The sequence below is a fragment of the Homo sapiens genome, chromosome 2 (genome assembly GCF_000001405.40).
Source record: "Homo sapiens chromosome 2, GRCh38.p14 Primary Assembly".
NCBI lineage: Eukaryota > Metazoa > Chordata > Mammalia > Primates > Hominidae > Homo > Homo sapiens.
Genome location: NC_000002.12, coordinates 119,332,548 through 119,356,791, shown reverse-complemented (window position 1 = coordinate 119,356,791; position 24,244 = coordinate 119,332,548). Strand labels below are relative to the sequence as shown.

General features: G+C 40.0%; 1 protein-coding gene across 9 annotated transcripts in view, besides 1 other annotated feature; it reads left to right on the top strand.

Annotated features, from left to right (window-relative positions):
- C2orf76 (chromosome 2 open reading frame 76) overlaps positions 1 to 24,244 on the top strand; it is an 86,022-nt gene that overhangs the window by 10,360 nt on the left and 51,418 nt on the right. For 7 of the 9 annotated variants that reach the window (XR_007069611.1, XR_007069609.1, XR_001738623.3 and 4 more), the window contains exon 2: positions 16,821 to 16,965. Coding sequence is in view for 6 of the 9 variants with exons in the window: in NM_001322330.2 (NP_001309259.1) it covers positions 16,833 to 16,965 (133 nt within the window). In the remaining 3 variants the exon portion in view is untranslated. Of the gene's footprint in view, positions 1 to 16,430; positions 16,634 to 16,820; positions 16,966 to 24,244 lie in introns of all 9 variants that reach the window. The other 2 variants (NM_001322329.2, NM_001017927.4) reach the window with 1 other exon arrangement.
- Positions 4,390 to 4,439: an enhancer, noted in NCBI's record as "active region_16448". NCBI's record gives its function as "activates an Ori minimal core promoter by ATAC-STARR-seq in GM12878 lymphoblastoid cells {active_cell/tissue: GM12878}" and the evidence as "EXISTENCE:reporter gene assay evidence [ECO:0000049][PMID:35858748]".

Genomic DNA, 24,244 nt, shown 5'->3' with positions numbered 1-24,244 from the left:
TGGTTATTTGTGCCTTCTTTTTTTTTTCCCTAGCTGGTCTTGCTCAAGATTCATCAGTGTTTAAAAAATCTTTTCAAAAAACCACCTCTTTTTTCATGGATTTTCTATTGTTTTTCTGTTTTCAATTGTATTGATTTCCACTCATTATTATTTCTTTCCTTCTGCTTGCTTTGGGTTTGTTTTGCTCTTGATTTTCTAGGTTCTTGAGGTGGGAGCTTAGATTATTGACTTGAGACTTTTTCTCATTTAATTTATGCATTTATACATTTTCCTCTTCACAGTGCTATACATTTTCCTCTTCACAGTGCTATACATTTTCCTCTTCACAGTGCTTTAACTGTGTCCCACTTTCATTCAGTTCAGTGTATTTTTAGTTTCCTTTTTTTTTTTTTTTTGAGACAGAGTCTCGCTCTGTCACCCAGGCTGGAGAACAGTGATCTCAGCTCACTGCAACCTCTCCCTCCTGGGTTCAAGCGATTCTCCTGCTTCAGTCTCCTGAGAAGCTGGGATTACAGTGCCTGCCATCAAGCCCAGCTGATTTTTGTATTTTTAGTAGAGTTGGGGTTTCATCATGTTGGCTAGTCTGGTCTGGAACTCCTGACCTCAAGTGATCTGCCCACCTCAGCCTCCCAAAGTGCTGGGATTACAACTGAGAGCCACCGAACCTGGCCTTTGTTTCCTTTGAGACTTCGTCTTTGGTCCAGGGCTTGTTTAGTAGTCTGTTGCTTAGTTTCCAAGTGTTTGAAGACTTTCCTGGTAGGTTCCTGTTTCTGATTTCTAATTTGATTCCACTGTGGTCAGAGAACACATTGTTTAATTTCACTTCTTCAGACTCGTCATGGTTTTTTCCTGTGGTGCAGGATGTGGACGTCTTGGCATCTATGTTGTGGATACTTGAAAAGTATGTGTATTTTGCAGTCATTAGTGGGGTGTTCTATAAATGTCCATTACATCCTGTTCGGTGGATGGTGTTGTAGAGTAGCAGTCCTCAACCTTTTTGGCACCAGGGACCGGTTTCATGGAAGACAGTTTTTTCATGGATGGGGTGGTAGGGGGATGGTTTTGGGTTGAAACTGTCCCATCTGAGATCATCAGGCATTAGATTCTCATAAGGAGCATGCAACCTAGATCCCTCATATGCTCAGTTCACAATAGGGTTCACGCTCCTATGAGAATCTAATGCCACCACTGAGAGGAGGAGTTTATTCCATTCCTCCTCCCTATAGGTCCCACAGGGGCAATCAGAGTAGCTCAGTTGCTACTGCATGTGCAGTGGGTTTATGTCACAGCTGTAGAACCCCAGGTTTAGGTAAATCAAATTCTTTATAAAGGGCTGCAAGCAAACCTGCCCAGCCTTACCCTGGAGTGAGATGTCTTCATGCTACTGGACAGTCTGGTGGGAGATACTGTCTCTGTCTTTCTAAGCTGTTCGCTATGTACATATCCTTGAAAGATAGTTCAGAATGAAAGCAGCCAGCCCCTCTGCTTCTAAGACACGCAGACGTGTGAGAGACCCATGGAGAAATGTCTCCCAACACACAGTACAAGGATTAATATTCTCACTGATGGTTGCAAATCAAGAAAAATAGAATTTATACCCAGTATACCTTGTTTAAGAAAGTGTATGAAATATTCTTTCTAAATGGTTAAGTCTCCAACCCTTGGGAAAACTCAACTGTCCAGAATGGTTTATGGAGAGTCTTGCATATCTTGAGCAGAGAAAACGAATTATGGTTTTGTGTATTTGCTCCAGATTCAAGGTCATAATGGCAGGTCTGAGGAATTGTAGATGTTGATTTGTCAGTGGGTGGTGTATTCTAGATGTGAACAGTAATCAAGGATATATTTATTTGGAACTGATTATGGTTCTTCCTCAGGGAAGGTCAGCTGCTAATGTCATTATGCAGTAAAGCAGTTACAGCATGGAGAAGCATGTGCCAGTCAGCAGATTAGCTAAAATTTATCTTGTACCTATTGTGTTACCTAAACCCCTAGAGGTGGAAGATTTTATTTTTTTGACCTATCTAAAAAATGGCTGAGGTTGAAGACTTTGAAATCATTTATAAATGAATATGTTGAAAATATCTTTCTCAAAAGTTCTGTCAGTGAAAGATGATTTAACCAACTCTTCTAGAATAATGGTGCTTTCATTTGTATTATGCAGCTAAACAACAACAAAAAAATGCCAAGAAGTTTTCAAATGTTATTTAACCCTCATATAGTCCTAGTTTATAAATGTAGGGTTTTTTAAAAAAAATTTTTATATTTTGAGACAGAGCCTCACACTGTCTCCCAGGCTGGAGTGCAGTGGTGCGATCCTGTCTCACTGCAACCTCCACCTCCTGGTTCAGGCGATTCTCGTGCCTCAACCTCCCAGTAGCTGGGCTTACAGGAGCGTGCCACCACGCCCGGCTAATATTTTTCTGTATTTTTAGTAGAGACGGGGTTTCACCATGTTGGCCAGGCTGGTCTCGAACTCCTGACCTCAAGTGATCCGTCAGTGATCTGCCTTCCTCAGCCTCTCAAAGTGCTGGGATTACAAGCGTGAGCTACCGTGCCCTGCCATTAATGTAGTTTATAAATGCTGAGTTTCATATTTTAAAAAAATATGCTTTTGAAAAAATTTAAAGCAGATTCTTTAATTGACACGTAATTGTACATATTTGGGGAGCACAATTTGATGTTTCAATACATATATAAGTTGTAGAATGAGCAAATCAGGGTATTTAGTGTGACCATTGCCTCATGCATTTATCTCTTTGTGGTGAGGATATTTAAAAATCTCTCTTCTAGCTATTTTGTAATGTACTGTTAACCATAGAACGCCAGAACTGATTCCTCCTATTTAATTTCAACTGTACCTTCAACCAGCCTCTCCCAATCCTTTTCCCACCCTTTCTCCAGTCTGTCCTAAAAAGAAAATTCTTGGGGCTGGGCGTGGTGGCTCACAGCTGTAATCCCAGCACTTTGGAAGGTTGAGGCGGGCGGATCACCTAAGATCAGGAGTTCGAGACTAGCCTGCTCAACATGGTGAAACCCCATCTCTACTAAAACTACAAAAATTAGCCAGGCGTGGCAGCGTGTGCCCGTAGTCCCAGCTACTCTGGAGGCTGCGCAGGAGAATCACTTGAACATGGGAGGCAGAGGTTGCAGTGAGCTGAGATCGCATCACTGCACTCCAGCCTGGGTGACAGAGCAAGACTCCAGCGAGACTCTCAAAAAAAAAAAAAAAAAAGAAAATTCTTGTTACCTTTTTTCTTTTTATTATAATGTCCAGCTCTTGATATTTCATTGTTACCGAAATCTATTTTTAGAAGAAAATTTCGTTCTCCATCCAAGAGTTAAAATTATGCTTTTGAAGTAGGCCAGAGTAGATTAAAATGCAATTAACATTTTACTTTTAGTCATAGTCCTAAGTGTGAATTAATTTTAATTTGTCATTCTTCTAAACTTAAACTGAAATTAATATAAAGTTATTAATTTGCCAAGGTTAAATTTTCTGTAAATGGTGAGCATTTATCATTCATCTACTAACAGTATGCTAGGTGTTCCATCTTTTTAAGAAGGATAATAAAAATAATTTAGGCTCCCCCACATCACCCCTGGCCTTAAACAACATTTTTTTTTTGATAAAATGACATATTTGAATGCTATTTAATTGTACTTAAGGATTATTTACTCCAAAATCATTAAGGGCAGTTTCAGAATCATTTGCATATTCAGTGATTTTCTTCTTAACAATTTCCTGCTCTTTCTCCTTTTATATCTGCTCACCTTTGCCAATTTAGTTTCCTCACAGAAAAGAACAGTAACAACTGTATTTCATATATTCTTTTTATTGATTTATTTGTTTTAAAAGGAAGGTGATGGACTCTCTGCCCTGTGATACTGGTTCCTAAATCTTGAGGAGAATTAAGCATTTAGCATGATTACATATACATACATACGTAGGTATGTATATGTAATCACTCTAATACACTCTCTCTATATATATAACCTGTCTATAATGAGAGAGAGAATCTGGTGTTAAAAGGAAAACTTTTGACAAATTCAATTTAGCAGCATTTATTTGAGTAAAGAAACAATGCATGAATTAGGCAGCATCTGAACCAGTAAAGGTTCAGAGAGCTCTAACCAGCAACAGTATTTTCTGTCTATAAATACCCAGCAGGTGGTATTTATAGACAGAAAACAGAAGTGAGAGACTGAAATAGTCTGACTGGCTACAGCTTGGCTTTTGCCTTATTTTGACATGTTTTGGCAGTTTGCAGCCTGTATTGGCTGAAAGTTTGGCTGCTGTGATTGGCTGAGACTCAGTTACTTATTCCAAGAATACACTTGCAGGTTAGGTTGCAGCTTGTTTACATAGTAAGATAGGGTGCAGTTCATTACCTGTGGAGGCAGCTTTAGGCCAAATTTAATTGAACAGTGGTTAGAACCTTCCCTTTTTGAAAGTTGTACCTTTTTCATTTGGATAAGACAAACTTTAAAGCAAAGTTGATATATGACAAGTGTAATTTTACAGTACTTAAATTTAGGGAGTATATATGCTTTATAAAATATTTTGGTTTTTCAAAATGATTCTCTCTAGGAGTTTGTTAAAATTCTGGTCATAAGCATAATTTCTTGGAAACCTGCGTGTGGCATGACGGAAGGTCAGTCAGTGCGCAAGTGGTTATAGGGTCTTCTCCATGTTAACTGCCTTAGTGCCTGAGTGCTTTTCCTACCCTTAAAGCTTCTAATAGCTCATTTTGGATTCCATTCTCTTACAAAAAAGTCAAGAAGATGCTTTCTTCGAATACCATAAGGCATATATACCAGGTTTTTTAGGTAGTACAGTCAATCCTAATTATTTTCAGATTCTGTATTTGCAAATTCACCTACATACTAACATTTATTTGTAACCCCAAAAGCAATATTCATGGCACTTTCTTGGTCATTCTTGGACATGTGCAGAGCAGTGAAAATTTTGAGTCACTCAATACATTCCCAGCTGAAGTCAAACAAGACAACACTATGCTTTTTTTTTTTTGAGACAGGATCTCGCTCTGTTGCCCAGGCTGGGGCTGGAGTATAGTGGTGCAATCTTGGCTCACTGCAACCTCTGCCTCCCAGGCTCAGGGGATCCTCCTACCTCAGCCTCCTGAGTAGCTGGGATTACAGGCACACATTACCACACCCAGCTAATTTTGGTATTTTTTTTTGTAGAGACAGAGTCTTGCTATGTTGCCCAGGCTGATCTCAAACTCCTGGGCTCAAGTGATCCTCCCGCCTGGGCCTCCAAAAGTGCTGGTATTACAGGTGTGAGCCACCGTGCCCAGTCGCTCTGCCTTCTTGTTTCAGCTCTTATATTGTAAACAAGTGACCAGTTTGTGGACTATTTATTGCCATGTTTTTTTCATTTTAATGCTTTTCTGTTGGTGATTCTGCTATTTAAAATGTCCCCCAAGCATAGCGCAGACGTGCAGTCAAGTGTTCCTAGGCGCAGGAAGGCTGTGATGTGCCTTATGGAGAAAATATTAAATATTGTGTTAGATAAGCTTTGTTCAGGCAGGCTGTGAGTGGTGTTGGCTGTGAGTTCAATGCTGATGAATTAGCAACACATAATAAATGTCTCTTTCAACAGAAACATGCATGAAACAAGATTATGTATTGATCATTTGCCAAAATGTGAAGTCGAGCTCACGAGACCCTAATCCTGTAGTTCCCCTAGGAGCAGTGGTTCAGGATTTGCTAATTCAGTGTTCACAGCCAACTTTATAAACCATAACTACTACCAACAACCAGAATCAACTGTAGTGATGTTTTTTTTTGAGCTGACAGAGATCAGTGTAACATCAACAATCAAGTATCTTGTGGGTGTTTTGTGCTTATCTGGATGCTCGGCTCTGAGCTTTTATGTGTGGTGCCTAGTTTTTCATCCAGAAGCCTGCCCCTGCTGGTTTATAACTCTGCAGCTTAGAGCTCTGCCCTGGGGAGACCAGCCAGCTTGGGAAGGGGAACCACTGGGCAAGTTAAGGAGCGTTGCAGTTAGCTTGTTCTGGCTTTGCCTGGTTGCTGAATTTCCACCACAGGCTCCAGGACTGAAGGCTGAAGGCCCATCTCATCTATGGGGTCTCAAAGCTTCCAAGCTATGCTTCCCTCCTCACCATCCTTGCAGCTTGGACCAAAAAAGCAGCTGCAGAGGGGAGGGTGCTGGGCTGCTCTGATGCAGTGGTTACTGGCCATCGAACTGGGACTTCCATGCAAGGCAGTTCCTATGGAAGTTTTGTGTTTGCTTTGTTTGTAAGAGCTTTGTTTTGCTTTGCATATGGGCTTTTCTGCATTGCCCCAAACTAGCTGGGTAAGTTACTAGCTAGAACTACAGGTTTTTTAGGCAGGGAGGCTTAAAGACCTTCCCAAGCCCTAGGCACTCTTACTTTTCAAAGCACCACCTGGGTCTTATGTGTTGAAATATACACGTATCCTACATTAAATCTAACATATATAATTATGAATAGAATCAAGTTGCTGTTGAACTGTTACATATTATAAATATATAATTAATATTAATTTTGATTTTTTTTCCACATCTCAAACATTTTCTTGGGTCCTGTGTCTCTAGTGCAAGATTGCCATGTTCGTGTGTCCTTAGGAAATGGAAGAAATCAGGTTTTTTTTCCTCCCTTTAACTGCTCATTAGTTCTACAAACACTTACGCGGGACGGTGGGGGGGCGGGGGGCGGTGTGGGCGGGGCGTGGTGGCTCACACCTGTAATCCTGTGCTTTGGGAAGCTAATGCAGGAGGATTGCTTGAGCCCAGGAGTTCAATACCCACCTGGACAACATAGACCCTAGCTCTACACAAAATTAACAATTTTAAAAAGAACATTTATGGGGCTTCTGAGGTGCCTCACGCTACACAAGCTGTTGGGTCTACAAAAACGGACCATACAGCATTCTTTCCCTTTAAAGAGCTTGTGGGCCAGACCTCTAAAACAGATGACATCGACATCGAGTGATAGGTGCTACAGCATACAGAGGGGGCCCATGGCTCAGCCTGGGGGAGAGGAGGAGCCCAGCTCAAAGGTGTCCTGCAGAAGATAGCCCCCTGAGCTGGGTCTTGAAGGAGCCTCTGTGGGAAAGCAAAGAGGGTGAGGGGCGGAGGGATTTTGGAGAGAAGCTGGGGCTGGAGAGGTGTGGTAGAGGCTTGGCAACAGCGTGGTGGGTGTGGGGAACTGTGAGCTGTCATTGTAGCTGGAGGGATATGTTAAAAGCAGATTTTGATGTTGACGTATACCACTGAAGAGGCAGCGGGACAAGTTCAGACTCCTCTGGGCGTGTGACCTGCTTCTGGTGCCTCCGAATGCTGTTTGGATTTATTTGGTGTTCCTTGGTACATAGCAGGAGTATAACTAAGTTCCTAGCCTTTCCCTCCTTTCCAGTACTCTGTAAGTTTGGTATTGTTTGCTTTGTTCTGTTGTCTCTTCCTTCTTAAAAACAAATGGAAATAGCTGAGTTTTAAAAATAACTTATTGTTGATGCATACACATATATCAGAAAAGTGAAAATACAAGTATACTGGAAATAGCTTAATTTAAAAACACATGATTGGTAAAACATCAAACAATATTAAAAAGTATATAAAACAAGTAACAGTCTCTTGGATTTCTGCCCCTCAGAGACAGCCACTGTTAATGTTTTGGTAAAGGCTTTTCTGGACATCTCTCCATGCTTATGTTCACATGTAACACACCTACATTACAAACATGCAGTGATACTGTACACAGGCAATTTTCTAATTTTTGTTTTGTTTTGTTTTTTTGAGACCAGGGTCTGGCTTTGTCTCCCAGGCTGGAGTGCAGTGGTGCAATCTTGGCTCTTGGCAACCTCTGCCTCCCAGGCTGAAGCGATCCTCCCACCTCAGCCCCGCAACTACAGGCTTACGCCACCATGCCGGGCTAACTTTTGTATTTTTAGTAGAGATGGGGTTTCACCATGTTGCCCAGGCTGGTCTGTTGAACTCCTGGACTCAAACAACCTGCCCACCTTGGGCTTCCAAAGTGCTGGCATTACAAGTGTGAGCCACGGCACCGAGCCCTTTAACTTCTTTTCTTTTTTTTTTTAAGACAGAGTTCCACTCTTGTCTTCCAGGCTGGAGTACAGTGGCACAATCTTGGCTTACTGCAACCTCTGCCTCCCCGGTTCAAGCGAATCTCCTTCCTCAGCCTCCCGAGTAGCTGGGATTACAGGCGCGCACCACCACGCCTGGCTAATTTTGTACTTTTAGTAGAGACAGGGTTTCACCATGTTGGTCAGGCTGGTCTCTAACTCCTAACCTCAGGTGATCCACCCGCCTTGACCTCCCAAAGTGCTGGGATTACAGGCGTGAGCCACTGTGCCCAGCCTAAGTTGTTTTTTTACTCACTGGTATGTCATGGCCATCTTTCAAAGTTGGTATCCATACATCCATATCACCCTTTAATGGCTGCAGGGTATTTTGTTTTACTGTGTGGCATAATTTACTTAACCATTTCTTTACTGTTGGACATTTAAGTGGATTCTAATTTTGTTAACTGTTAGAAACATTTCAGTGAAAGAAAATCTTTGAATGTACACCTTTGCGCACTTATAGTCTTCTTGCAAAATGTTTTTATTATGAAAAATGTCAAGCATTTACAAATGGAATAGTATATGAGATTTCATACATAACCAACTTCAACAGTTAACAATGGTCTAGTATTTTTTTTTTTTTTTTTTTTTTTTGAGACAGAGCCTTGTCCTGTTTCCCAGGCTGGAGAGTAGTGGTGTGGAGCACAGTACATAGCTCACTGCAGCCTCAAACTTCTGGCTCAAGTGATCTTTCTGCCTCAGCCTCCCAAGTAGCTAGGATTATAGATGTCCATTGCTTGTATCAATGTCAATTTCCTGGCTGTAAAATCGACTATACTCAAGCAAGATGTGGCCAAGTGGGGGAAAGTGGATGAAGGGAAATGGGAGCGCTGTATTATTTCCCAAATCTACATGTGAATCTACAATTATTTCAAGATAAAAAGGTTAATTAGCTGAGGTCATTGCACTCAGCTAATTAAAAAATTATTTTTGGAGAGATGAGGTCTCGATATGTTGCCCAGGCTGGTCTTGAACTCCTGCGCTTAAGTGATCCTCCTGCCTCGGCCTCCTAAGTGCTGGGATTACAGGCGTGGGCCACCATGCTTGGTCTCTACTATTCTTTTTTTAATCTACGCTTCTATAATTGTTTTTCCTCTGCTAGGGTATTTGAAAGCAAATACAGGTCATCATTTCACCTGTATATTCCTCAGTCTTTTAAGATAAGGACTTAAAAACACAACCATAATATCATATAAACAGAATTAACATTAATTCCTAATATCATCTAATATTATACAAATTAGGATCCATACAAAGACTAAATGTTGCATCCGTTGAGATTAGCTCTTTTAAGTCTCTTTTAATATATAGCCTTCCTCTCTTTTCTTTATTTCTCATGCCATTTGTTGAAGAAATCGAGTCATTTTTCCAGTACAATTTTCCACCATCTGAACTTGGCTGATGGCCTCCTTGTGGTGTCATTTAACATGTTCTTCCATACCCTGTCATAGCTGATAAACTGGGAATGAGATCTGGAGGCTCGATTCATTCACTAATGTTGATTATGAAGTTCAGGTGTTGTCAGCCCCAGATGTACCCATGCTGAAGTTCCCCGTCAGTCTTACCTGATGGTTTTAACACCGCTTTATGATCATCACCTACACTCATTTCATTAGAGTTTTCAGAATGATAATTTTTGGAATTTTTTTATTTTGGGATAATTGTAGATTCACATGTAGATGTAGGAAATAATACAGAGATCCCATTTCCCTTCATCCACTTTCCCCCATTGGCAACACCTTGCTTGAGTATAGTCCAATTTTACAGCCGGGAAATTGAAATTGATACAAGCAATGAACCTCATTTAGATTTCACTAGTTTTATATACACTTGTGTGTGTATATATGTGTATGCCTGTGTGTGTATGCATTTAGTTCTGTGCAGTTATATCACATGTAGATAAAAATGGGTAACACTACAGTCAAGAATCAGAACATTTCCATCACAAGGATCTCTCATTTTACCCTTTAATAGCCACAGACATGACACCTCTTTCCCCCTCTTCCCCTAACCCCTGGCAACACCCTAATGCATTCTTCATTTCTGTAATTTTGTCATCATAAGAATGACATAAAAATGGAATTATACAGTATGCAAGCTTTTGAGACTGCCTTTTTTCATTCAGCTTGATTCCCTTGAGATTCACCCTGATTGTTGCCTGTATCAATAATTTATTTATTTTTATTACTGACTAGTATTTCATGATATGGATATACTGCAGTTTGCCTGACCATTCATATGTTAAAGGGCATTTGGATTATTTCCCAGTTTTGGGGCATTACACATGGATATGCTGTGCACACTCATATACAGGTTTTTGTGTTAACATAACTTTTTGTTTCTCTAGCATGAATGCCCAAGAATGCAATTACTGGGTTATATAATGGGTATGTTTAGTTTTGTGAGAAATTGCCATATTCTTTTTCAGACTGGCTAGTACCATTTTACATTCCTACCAGCAATGTATGTGAATTTCTCCACCCTCACCAACATTTGGGGCTATTGCTGTGTTTTATTTTAGCCATCCTGATAGGTATGTAAATTAGGATTTTAAAATTTTATTCTTTTTTTTTTTTTTTTTTTTTTGAGATGGCGTCTCACTCTGTCGCCCAGGCTGGAGTGCAGTGGCACGATCTCTGCTCACTGCAAGCTCTGCCTCCCAGGTTCACGCCATTCTCCTGCCTCAGTCTCCTGAGTAGCTACAGGCGCCCGCCACCATGCCCGGCTAATTTTTTGTATTTTTAGTAGAGACGGGGTTTCACCGTGTTAGCCAGGATGGTCTCAATCTCCTGACCTTGTGATCCGCGGGCCTCGGCCTCCCAAAGTGCTGGGATTACAGGCGTGAGCCACCGCACCTGGCCAAAATTTTATTCTTTTAGTACTTTTTAGCTGTAATTCTTCTATAAAGAAGAAACTTTTTTTCATCAGCTATTTGATAACGCTGAAATACTGTCTGTACAAGAAAGGAAGGGTAAAATGTTTGACTTCTTATTTCTACCAACCCTCACTTGGAAAGCCACTTTTCAGAAAAACAAATTAGTGCCTTGTTAGCCTCCAGAATGACCAGCTTTTTAAAAAAGTGTCATTATGAACCCATGGGTTTATAAAATAATTGATATGATTCTCTTCTCAGGGTGAATTGTTAGAAAAGAAATTGCCATATCAAAGGGTAGACAAATTTAAAATTTTGGTACAGATTACCCACTCACCTCCAGATAGGCTGTTTCATTTTATGTTCTTGCCAGTTGTTTATAAAAAAATATTTGTTTCTCCATATCCTTGCCAACACTGGTTGGCCAGTTTTCAATTTTTCTTATTATACCAGTCTGATGGCAAAATTGATAACTGTTTCTCTTTCAGTTCTTTAGTTGGAAGTAAAGCTGATCTTTTCACATTATTGGCTTAAGTTTAGCCAGTTGCCTGTTAATTACCTTTATCCTTGTTTCTATTAGGATATTGGTCTCTTTTTACATTTTTATGTTGTTACAACTATCAGTCTTTTCCTTGATGATTGCTGCTTTGTCTTTGCTTAGAGCTTTTCCTATCTTAAGATTATAAAAATATGTACCTATTTTCTTCTGGTGCCTCTTCATGATTTTATAGTTAAATATTTGTTTCATAGACACGTTATTTTGTATAAGGAGTGAGATAAGAATCCATTGTTACTTTTCCCCAAATCCATTATTAGTTTTCTCAATGCCATTTATTAAGGAAACTATCTTTTCCCCACTAATTTGAGATGCCACTTTCATCTTATATTAAATTTTCTATAATCTTAAGTCTGACTTCTCTGTTAGATTTCACAGATTTGTCCATCTATTTCTGCTCCAGTATCCGATTTTATATTACCGTGGCTTGATTTTGCATTTAAAATAGTTGTTATTGGATTTTGTAAAATTATGAAAATCAAACAAGCTTTTTCCTATGTAACAGTTGCTTTATAATGTGTTTTAATAATTGGTGTCACTGGTCTCTTTTCTTTTTTGTTGTTTTATGACTTTGCTGACAAAGCTCACAGATTCTTCTAGATGGATTTTAGAATTGTTTGTGTCAAGATTCCCAAACAGCTCTTTTTTATTTTGATTGGGATTTTATTCAATGGGTCAATTTAGGGAGACTTGATTTCTTTACTACTTTGAACCTTTGTAGTTAAGGACATTGTCTATCATTTCATTTATTTAAATCTTTTATATCCTTGAATATTTTTAATTAATTTATCCTGAAGTTTATTTTTATTGGCTTCTCTGCCTTTTCATTTGAGGAATACTTTTAAAAATTGATCAGATTCACTTTTTTAAAAAACTAGGCCAAACTTTCTGGGAAAAATGTCAGATTTTATTATCTGTAAGGTTAGTCTTCTAAGCTGAGGCAGCTCCTCTAGGCAAACAAGCCTATGTCCCACTGTCCTTAAGGCAAATTAGATAATGGTCCTTCTGATAGTAGCTATTGTTTTGTTACTGAGTATAAATTGAAGCACATAAAAGAAAGATGACAATAGTTGTCCAAAATTAGATATAACACAAATTTTGGGGTTTTAAATGGAAAAGTTCAACTATTTAAGTACAGCATATGGGCAGCTTTTTATTAAGTGAAAATAACAAACCTGTAATTGTGAAAAACAGTTTCATGAGGAATGCAAGTGCCAGCCTGCCCAGCCTTCGCTTCATTACATCTGGGAATTTATCTTTATCTGCTGCTTATATAGGCTGTCTTTATACCCAAACCTATTTTAATCCAAATAGAATAATAATGACAAAAGCAGCTACTACTTATTGAGATCCTGTGTGTGAGGAATTGTGTTTTATGTATGTTAATTTCTTAAATTAATGGAACGACTTGTTTTTTTGTTTGTTTGTTTTTTGAGATGGAGTCTCACTCTGTTGCCCAGGCTGGAGTGCAGTGGCGCAATCTCAGCTCACTGCAACCTCCACCTCCCTGCCTCAGTCTCCCGAGTAGCTGGGACTACAGGCATGTGCCACCACGCCCGGCTAACATGGAACAGCTTTTTAAGGAATTCTTATTTATATATCAGACAGTTGCAGCTAAGAAGCAGAGTTGATCTTTAAGTTAAATCTGTTCAACTCTAGGTTCTTAGGGACACTGGGCTGCATTCCAGCGCTTCCCAGTGTGTGTGTGTGTGTGTGTGTGTGTGTGTGTGTGTGTGTAGGTATAGGTGTGTGCATATGCGTGTGTATGGGAGGGCTTTTTTGTTGTTTTAGGGGGTGAGAAGAGGGAGACGTGGTCATAGCTTTAGCAAACCTGTCAACACTGCTTCTAAAATACAAGAGGCTTCTATATGTCTCTTTCTGAAGAGCTACTCCTTATTGAATACTTCAGTATATTTTAAATTTTAATTTTGTAGGTATTTGCTGAACTGCTATTATGTGGTAGATTCTGGGATACGATTTTCTGAGAAGCATTGTAAGCCAGATTTAATAAGAAATAGTGAAGTAACTAATATTGAAATTGTGAAAAGATTTGTTAAACTCATTAACCACAAAACATGCTTATAAGATTCAGAGAGACTTTCTAGGCCAAATTAATGTGACTTGCTTGTGTATGTTATAAAATATTCCAGACATACTAAAAGGCATAAAGAATGATATACTTTGGGAGGCCGAGCCAGGCGGTTCACCCGAGGTCATGAGTTCAAGACCAGCCTGGCCAACATGGTGAAACCCCATCTCTACTAAAAATACAAAAATTAGCCGGGCCTGGTGGCGCGTACCTGTAGTCCCAGCTACTCACGAGGCTGACGAGGCTGAGGCAGGAGAGTTGCTTGAACCCGGGAGAGGGACGTTGCAGTGAGCCAAGATGGCACCACCGCACTCCAGCCTGGCGACAGAGTGAGACTCCATCTCAAAAACAAACAAACAAACAAACAAACAACCCATATACCTAACATCTGCTTAAGATATAAAATGTTACTAATATAATTGAAGCCCCAATTTATTCCTTCCCAAGTACATAATTCTTCCTACACCTCAGATAATTGTCTCCTTTCTTTTTTTTTTTCTTTTTTGTTTTTTGAGACCGAGTCTTGCTCTGGCACCCAGGCTGGAGTGCAGTGGCACGATCTCTGCTCACTGCAACCTCCGTCTCCTGGGTTCAAGTGATACTCCTGCCTCAGCCTCCAGAGTAGCTGGGATTTCAGGAACCCGCCACCATGCCTGGCTAATTTTTTTTATTTTTATTAGAGGCTGGGTTTCACCACGTTGGCCAGGATGGTCTCGAACTCCTGACCTCAAATGATCCTTCCGCCTCGGCCTCCCAAAGTGCAGGTATTACAGGGGTGAGCCACCGCGCCTGGCCAATTGTCTCCTATCAAACGAAATAAAGACTATGTTTATGAACTTTGTATAAATGATAGTACAGGATGCTCTGATTCTTCTGCAACTTGCTTTTTTCCACTCGTGGTAGTATTTTTGAGATTTATCCATGTTTAATGCTTGTACTTCAATCCATTCATTTCTATTGCTTGTCATATTCTATCGTAGGAGTACACCATCCTTTACTTATCAATTCTGCTGTTGATGGACAGTTGTTTCCAGTTTTTGCAGTTAAAAAATTACACTGCTATTAATGTTATTTTATGGTTCCTCCTTGTATATATATGTGAGATTCCTTAGGGTACCTATGTATGAATGAAATTGTAGGATCAAAAGGTATATGTATCTTCAGTTTTACTAAAGATCGCCTTATTGTCTCCAAAAGTACTGCTCCTTTAAGTCCCTGCCGTCACTGATGAGGTTTTCATTGTTCTCTACCCTTGCCAATAGTAGGTATTGTTAGACTTTGTAATTTATCAGTTAGATGAGTGATATGTCTCACTGTTATTTTGAATTTCCCTGACTACTAGTGATATTGTATATCTTTCCTTACATTTATCAGTATTACAGGTATTTTTTTTCTAGTACTTACTTTTATTGTATATTATGGTTTAAAGTTACATGCAAAGTTGTAAGTAGCACAAAGTAGGTGCTACTAGATAGAACTATGCCCTGCTCGTATCTTTAAAACAAATGCGTTTTTGATACTTCAGAAAGTGAATGTGAGAGTTAGAGTTACATCTTTCAACATAGATAAATGAAAAGCGATGCTGAAAGGCTTGTGGAAGCTACCTATAATACACCATGTATGTAAAGTTAACCATACTGTGTATCTGTGGGCACAGTACTTCAGCCTATTTGTGTTTCACTTTTTCTGTATGAGATGATCTTACCAACCTCACAGGGTGATTGGAGGTGAGTGGGCAGTCGATGATCTAATGAATGCTAAGCACTTAGAGTAGTATCTGGCATGTAAGCATTGCTGATATATAACAGAAAGTGTTGCTGGGCATGGTGGCTCACACCTATAATTCTAGCACTTCCGGAGGCCAAGGCAGGAGGATCACTTGAGCCCAGGAGTTGGAGACCAGCCTGGGTGACAGAGTGAGACCCTGTCTCAAACAAAACAAAACAAGATTAAAAAAAATATAGAAAGTGTTGTTACTGCTGTGCATAATAGTCTATTTTCTGTAGATTCAAATGATATGAATTAGAGTGTAAAATTATGTATTGGAATGGTGTGTGCGAGTCACTGCTCTGTCGTCCCAGGGCAGAAAATGCTGATGGAATTGGGGAGGGTACATGGGGCTTCTGATGTGTTTTCTTCCTAAAAGACTCAGAATGCATCAGAATGTTAAGATTTGACAGGGTAGTGTAGCAAGTTCTTTTTTTTTTTTTAACTGTTTGCTTACAATATTTCAAAACAAAAATATTTTTTAAGCATGAAAAAAACATTGGCAACTGTGCAGACATTTTTTGGAGGAAATAATTTGGGGTGGTTTTCCAATTTGTGTGTGTGTGTGTGTGTGTGTGTGTGTGTGTGTGTGTGTGTGTGTATTAGAAAGCATGAACTTTGCAATTAAATTGATGCTTGAATCCTGACTCCATCATTTACCAGCTTCATGATTTTGGGCAGTTTATGCAATCTCTCCAAGTCAGTCTTCTCATCTTTAAAATGTTATCTCATTTAATTCTCTCACGAAACCATGAGGCAAAATGCTTCATGTTTTGTTTAGAGAATTAAATGAATTAAATGAGATAACATTAAGACCTGGTACATGTGCCTAGTACTTAGTTTTAGGATGAACTATACATACTCAGCTTTAGTAATGTGAAAGACGGTAACACCATCGTATATAATTAAATAAGCCCTGAAATCTGGCAGCATTTATGAAATTGAAATGCTGTCTGTTGATAGTTGATTCTAATGTAAATGTGCTTCCATCTCAGGGCCAGCTGAGGGGCCCACGGACATAGGGCACCCACAATAGGCGTGTGTCTGCTGTGTGTTTGTGTTCGGCCGTCCTGCTTCTCTGTTTCCACACGTACACATGCCCCTGTGTTACTTTGGTTCATCTTCTGTACTCTGTCAGTTTTCTGCTGGTCAGAACATCTGTGACTGTGACAGAGCTGTCCAGGATTGCAGTGGATAGGTGGGTATAATCACTGGGACCCTTCTGGGGACTCTGGAACCTGGCTTCTGTTTGGGAACTCTGTCAGTGATCATGCAGCATGGAAGAGCGGGGCTGGTGCCAGAGAGCTGATAGAGATGCAGGCTAGGTGCTGGTAGACAACTGTGAGCTGGCTTCATTTAGATGGTTCTCATGTCTCTTGCCACAGGAATTTCTTCACATGGCTCCTGGAGAAGTGACCATCACAGTTCGCCTCATCCGTTCCTTTGAACATCGCAATTTCAAACCTGTAGTGTATCACGGAGTGAATTTGGACCAAACTGTAAAGGAATTTATCGTATTTCTAAAGCAAGGTATGAGATGTGAAAGCCATTTTGTTTTACTAGTAGTTTTTAAAAATAGCTGACTATGACATTAATAATAATCTTTAACAAATCCTAAAGTACTTTGAAAGATTAACCTGGGTTCCAAGCCAGGTGCTGGGCGAGCCCCGGTTCTGGGCCCTGGCATCTGCAGAGGGCCTCCCTCAAGGATTCTCACTGAATAGTCTGTGTCCTCATGAGGGATTGTGACCGTCATTTTTGGCTTCTTTTTTTTTTTTTTTAATTAAAAGTAATATCTAGGTTTGTTGTTAATGGGGTTATGTATTTGGAGGTTGATTAGCAAGCGGGTGTAGTGTAGCTGATTGTGGTACCCAGCTGAGCACAGAGGGTGTGGGGTGGTCACATGGGGAAGTGTGGTGGGAGGGGAGCGGAGGCTGTACAGCAGGAAGTCATGAGAGCTGCTGATAATTGTGGTCACAGACACAGAAACGGCGGTGCTAGTTGATTGTTTCAAACTAGAAGTATGCATGAAGTTAGTCTTCATTCTGTTATGTCCTCAATGGGTTTCTCTTCTCCATTTTTAATTATTGAAGTGTTCCAATCATCGAACTTTGAGAAAACATCTAAAATAAGGTTTCATTACTTTAATTGAAGTGTTATTTACATATGGTGCAATCTGCAGATTTCTTGTATAGTTCCATTGCTTTTGACAAAGGTATTGCTTTATATCCAATGTAATTTTTTTACTTTGACATGATTTCAAACTCATAGACAAGTTGCAAGAACAAGACAAAGAATTCCTGGATGTTCTTCACACAGATTCCTTGTGTTAACATTTTGCTATGTTTGTTTTATTCCTGCGGAGGCCAAAGCAACTCCATCTTGGATACTGATCTGCCATATTGACTTCTCATTAGCCCCAGTTTCAAGATACCTCTAAGATTTCCAGGTTATCTACTATTCCCTATGTAAGAACAGGTACTTACTATAAATCCTGACCTTAGGTCAAGCAACCTTGATGTTATTGTACTTTGCTTGCCCTACACATCCCTTCAGATCACCCTTTCCCTATGATATAAGCCCTGGGTCTGGGGGGTAGTGGTGCGTGGATCCCTTGTCTTGTCCTGCCAAAGCCTGAGACACAGACATGGCTTCTGTTTGTAAGTTCCTATTAAATATGTCTTTCTAAGAAACTGAATATGTCAGCCTCTTTCTTCAGCCTCTCAGTTTCCTCGGACTTTCTGGGGCAGGTTCACATAGACCTGCTCACCTTGAAACAATTCCTCACTCTCTCCCCTCTCTCCTCTTCCCCTTTCTCTCTCATTCTCCTCACTCCCCCAGATTAGGTAGCATCCTCAACAAAGAACAGTAAAATTTTAGAGAAGTGACAAGACAAAGGAAATGAACTCTAAATCTCTCAGGGTGACAACTTGTGGGAAACTGAATACTAAGGCTAGTTAGTAAAGCTCGTTAATGTGGATTCTCTTGTGCTGTCTCCAGACTGATAGGGGTCTAAAGTTGTCTTCAGTGATTAACCTTTGTTTTCCTTGGGAGAGAGGTGGGCAGGATACCTTTTCTCTTTGTAAATCTATTATATGTCCTGATTTTAGGCAAACGGAGGGCCGAGAGCTTTCCTCCATCTGCTGCTGCTTAATTGCCTTTAGCTCAAAAAAAATCCTTAGCTAAAGAGGCATATTTTGGGGGGCACTTCCTGGTCTCTGACAGTGTCAATTAGAAAGTGTCCTGCTTTTGAAAGGTCATTACCCAAAGCATAGTCAGAGTTTGAAATAGAAACAAATCCGTACTTTTTTATTTTATAATCTTTGTGTGTATTGTGGATTACAGTGTTTCTTAATGTTGACACAGCAAGTGCTATGATGTTCTTTGTACAGTACAGACTAGGTTCTTGAAGTCCTTGAGAATAAGATGTATTTTCAAGCTGCTGCAATGGCAGGGGAAGATGTCTTTTTTCCAGGGTCACGGTGTTCTTTTCTTTCCAGGTACCACAGATACCTTCCCCAGCAGAGCAGTGGTACTGGTCACAGTGAGATGCTCAGACCCACCTACTCACACCTTTCATCTGCAGTGGGAATAACAGCCACTGCTTGTTTCAATTGTGCACTTAGGGAAATGTGTTCCACTGACTAAAAGGTGAACTTTTGGGGTACAGACTTTTCTGAGTTGTGGGCTCTGTGTCCAAGCCTATCTTTGTCATCTGATTTGAGGTACTATGGAACTCTGAAAGGTTGGTGGGCCACAGATTTGCCTTTTATGAATTGTGTACATAACAAAGACCAAACAGTTTGATAGTGAGGGATTTTTGAAATATGTAATAATAATAATGATAGCAAACATTACTCTGTATCAGGTACTATACTAAGAATTTTACCTAGATTATCTCATTTCATCCTCACAGCATCCCTCTAAAGTTGGAACCATTTTACAGGTGAAGAAACTAAGGAACAGAGGGGTTAAGAAGCTTGCCTGGCCACCTGCAGTGGCTCACATCTGTAATCCCAGCAATTTGGGAGGCTAAGGCGGGAGGATCACTTGAGCCCAGGAGCTTGAGACCAGCCAGGGCAACATAGCAAGACCCTGTCTCTCCAAAAAAAAAACAAAACAAAACCCCAAAAAACTAGCTGGGCATGGTGGCATACATCTGTAGTGCCAGCACTCAGGAGGCTGAGGTGGGAAGATCGCTTGAGCCCATGAAGTTGAGGCTGCAGTGAGCTTTGATTGCACTACTGCACTCTAGTCTGGACCACAGAGCAAGCCTGTGTCTCAAAAAATAAATAAATAAATAAATAAATAAATGAAACTTTCCTGATGTTGCATGGGTAATAAAAGGCAAAGCTGCAAATCAACCCAGGCATGTTAAGTGTCAAACATGTACTCTTACTAAACACTGCACTAAATTGCTTCTTTATTCTTCTCTACTGCCTCACTTGCTTGAGTGGGATCTCTGAAATAAATGGATGGACTCCGTGTCAAAAGGGTCTTTGAATTTAGTTCATCTTGCTCTAGCATTTTGAGTGCTGAGTGCTAAAGAGATTGTCTGACATAGTGGCATAGGGAATTTTGTACAGATACAGAAATGGGCATTGTGAAGAAAGATCTCTTGGAGTTATTTTACACACTTTATTGCCTTTCTTTCTTTCTTTTTAAATTAAATTTTATTTTTCGATCCTCCTCCCTCCCCAAGGCTTTCTAAATGTTCTTTTCTTTCGTAGTCATGTTTTGCCATCCACAGGTTAACCTAGTTACCTGCCATAATTGTTTGTATTTTCTCCTCAGCCAAAAAGTTTTGGTTAAATTTTATTCATTCCCCATTGAGAATCACAGCCCTAGAGCATCATCACGTCATCAAAACCTTAAGTCATATAAATATAATAAATATAAATGTATATATTTACATATAAATATAATAAACCTATTTCTGATGTATGATAAATTTATTTATTTATTTTGAGACAGAGTCTCGCTCTGTTGCCCAGACTGGAGTGCAGTGGCGTGGTCTCGGCTAACAACCTCTGGCTCCTGAATTGAAGCGATTCTCCTGCCTCAGCCTCCTGAGTAGCTGGGATTACAGGTGTGCGCCACTATGCCTGGCTAATTTTATATTTTTAGTAGAGATGGGGTTTCACCATGTTGGTAGGCTGGTCTCAAACTTCTGATCTCAAGAGATCCGCCTGCCTCAGCCTCCCAAAGTGCTGGGATTACAGGTGTGAGTCACTGTACCTGGCCTGGGAAATGGATATTAATCAAATATTATGATCATAGAGGTATCATAATATATTACCATCTATAGATGACTGTATTTTTTAGATTCAGAATACTAGACAAACCAATTATCTAGATAACATAAAATTATTTTAATTATTCTTAATTTGCAAGCATTTCGATTCTTACTAATACTTTAGATCTGGTTTCCAAATGTAAAGTCATCCCAACTATGAAAAAGAACACTGTGGAAGCTCTGTCCAACCTTCCAGTTCAGTCTGATGTTTTTCTCATGGTTAGACTGGGCTTATGGATTTTTGAGAGGAAGGTCACAGAGGCACAGAGTGATTTTATCAGATAGTATCAGAGGTGTATGCTTTCCACATCATTTAGGATTATTGACATTGACGTTGATTAAGTGGCTGAAGTCATGTCAGGTTTCTCTACTGTAAAGTTACTCTTTTTTCCTTCCCTTTTCAAATGGTACTTTTCAGAAGGAATTCATATCACAGTTAAACACTCGGGAGTTATGCTTCCCTTCCTTTAGAATAAACCATGTACAAAAATCCTTTGGAGTTCTGTGTGGCAGACTTGACTTTGTTGCTCAGATTTTGCTAGGTTTGGGAGCTCTTTCAATTGCCTTCTGTGCTCCTCTGACATATGCCCTCAGTGTGCATGGGTGCACGTGTTCAGTACTTTTACTTTCTGGTACTACAGGATGCTCCAGACTCATCTTGTACATGCCCTGTTCTTAGAATCAGCTTTATTTCCAAGGAGTCTCAGTTCTTTTTTAGTGGAAAATTGTGTTAGAAACCAGGATCTAGGTACTAGATGTGTTCATTGCTACTAGAGTGTTCTTTCTTTCTTTCTTTTTTCTATGGTAGATATCTAAAGGCCAAGGAGTGTTATTTTAAACTGTCTCAGCTGATCAGGCAAAGAAATATATGTGTCTGTATTAACCTGTGCGTATGTACATATCTATAAATATTTTTATATGTAATGATCTATATACAAATACATTAAACGTGAGTTCTTACTGATCTTTCCATCTCTGATCCATTACCCTGTGGGTCATTCTAGCTTCCTCTCCTTGCTTATCTGTTAATTCCCATACCAACAGTGAGAAACGTGGTCCCACCATCTGCTATCCATTTATTTAATTGTTTAATTCTAGCATACAGGTATAGCAGTGTATCCCCATGGGAAGCAACTTGATATCAGTTAGATACAGTCCTTTTGTGTCCTTTCGCCATAAGCACTGTAGTCTTACAAAATCTGTTCATTGCCAGAGTTATTTAGGTCAGCACTTTTTCTTCTACTCCCTTCAGTAAGGTTGTTGTAGCATTTGTAGTACAGATAGATTAGATTCTCTTGTCACCACCTGCATTCTTTCCTGGTATCCTCTGACTTCTTAAATATATATATATATATATTTTGTTTTTTTCTGAGAGAGAGTCTCATTCCAGTTGCCCAGGCTAGAGTGCAGTGGCACCATCTCGGCTCACTGCAGCCTTAACCTCCCGGACCCTGGTGATTCTCCCACCATAGCCTCCTGAGTAGCTGGGACTACTGATGCATGCCACCATGCCTGGCTAATTTTTTATTTTTAGTAGAGACGGGGTTTTGCTGTGTTGCCCACCCAGGCTGGTCTCAAAACTCCTGGACTCAGGCAGTCCGCTGCCTCGGCCTCCCAAAGTGCTGGAATTATAGGTGTGAGTCGCTGTGCCCGACCTTTTTTTTTTTTTTTTTTTTTTTTTGCTTTGCATACATTGAGGTTCACTCTTTGTGCTACAAAGTTCTTTGGGTTTTTGACAAATGGGTAATGTCATGTAGCCACCCTTACAGTGCCGTACAGAATAGTTTCACTGCCTAAAATATCCGCTGTGCTTCACTTCTTTATCCTTTCCCTCCCCATGCTGCACCCTTGGCAACTACTGATTTTGTTCTTATCTCTGTATCTTTTCCAGAATGTCACTGAATTGGAATCATACAGTATGTAGACTTTTCAGAATGGCTTCTTTTACTTAGAAATATACATTGAAGGGGTCAGGCACAGTGGCTCATGCCTGTAATCCCAACACTTTGGAAGGTGGAGGTAGGAAAATCACTTGAGCCTCGGAGTTTGAGCCCAGACTGGACAACACAGTATGACCCCATCTGTACAAAAAAAAAGAAAAAAAGAACAGAGAAACATGCATTGAACACGCATTGAAGGGTCCTTCATGTCATTTTGTGACAGGTCATATCTTTCTAATCTCCATTAATCTGGAACAATCCCCCACCTTTTGTTTTTCATTATATTGATTCTTAAAGAAAAATTTAGGCCAGTGTCTTACAGAATGTTACATAATTTACATTTGTCTAGATTGTTTTCTCATGATTAGGTTCGGGTTAAGCAGTTTTGGCAGGATTACCATGTAGGTCAGGGGTTAACAAACAACAGTCTGTGGACCATATATGTACCACTTTTGTGATTTAGTAGTAGAGTTGAATAGTTGTGACAGACTGTCGCAGAGACAGAGACTGGCCCACAAAGCCTAAAATGCTGACTCGCTGGCCTTTACCAAACTAGTTTGCTGGCCTTGATGTAGGTGATTCCTCCTTGTTGCATCACATCAGGAAACACTGAATGTCAGTTTATGCCTTCATTGGTGATACAGATTTAAATCCTTTGGCTAAAGGTGCCATCCACCAGATTTTCCTGATGTTAAAGTGTCTTTCTAATTTATAAGTAGTCTATGGAGTGATCAACATTGAGACCATTTACATATCTTGTTTCTTATGGTTTTAGCATTTATTGATGATCCTTATCTGAATCATTGGTGGTTGAAAAATTGTGATTTTTCTAATTCTATGATTATCTCTACATGTATTATCTGGCACTCTTCTGTAGAGAACCCGTCCCTTGAAGCCTCTCTTTTTTTGAAAGGAATACAATAATGTGGCTGCAGCACAGTCATAATGTATTATTGCCTTATCACGTGAGGCAGTTCCTTCAACATACTGTTAAGGCAATGCTTTGTTGTTTTTACTACTCTACTACAGGATGTGCTGCGCATTCTTTAATTTAAGTACTTTATAATTTTAATACACAAAATAATACTTGGCCTGGCGTGGTGGCTCACACCGTAATCCCAGCACTTTGGGAGGCCAAAGCGGGAGGATCACTTGAATGCAGGAGTTCGAGACCAGCCTGAGCAACATAGCAAGACCCTCATCTGTACTAAAAATGTAAAAACATTGGCCTGGCTTTGTAGTGCATGCCTGTAGCCCAGTTACTTGGGAGGCTGAGATGGGAGGATTGCTTGAGCCTGGGAGGTCGAGGCTGCAGTGAGCCTTGATTGTGCCACTGCACTCCAGTCTGGGCAACAGAGAAAGACCCTGACTCAAACAAAACAAAACAAAACTATTTTTATCATCCCTGGCTATTAGTCTTTGGAACGAGAGTAAAACAACAGAGCGGGTGTGCTAACCTAGGGATGGCAGGTGGTTTCTTCTAGGAAGGGAGTAACAGTGGGACTGGCAAAAGATAGAAAGGCTTTAGCTGCATCCAGATTGTTTTACTTAGTTAAAAAAAATAATAAAGGAT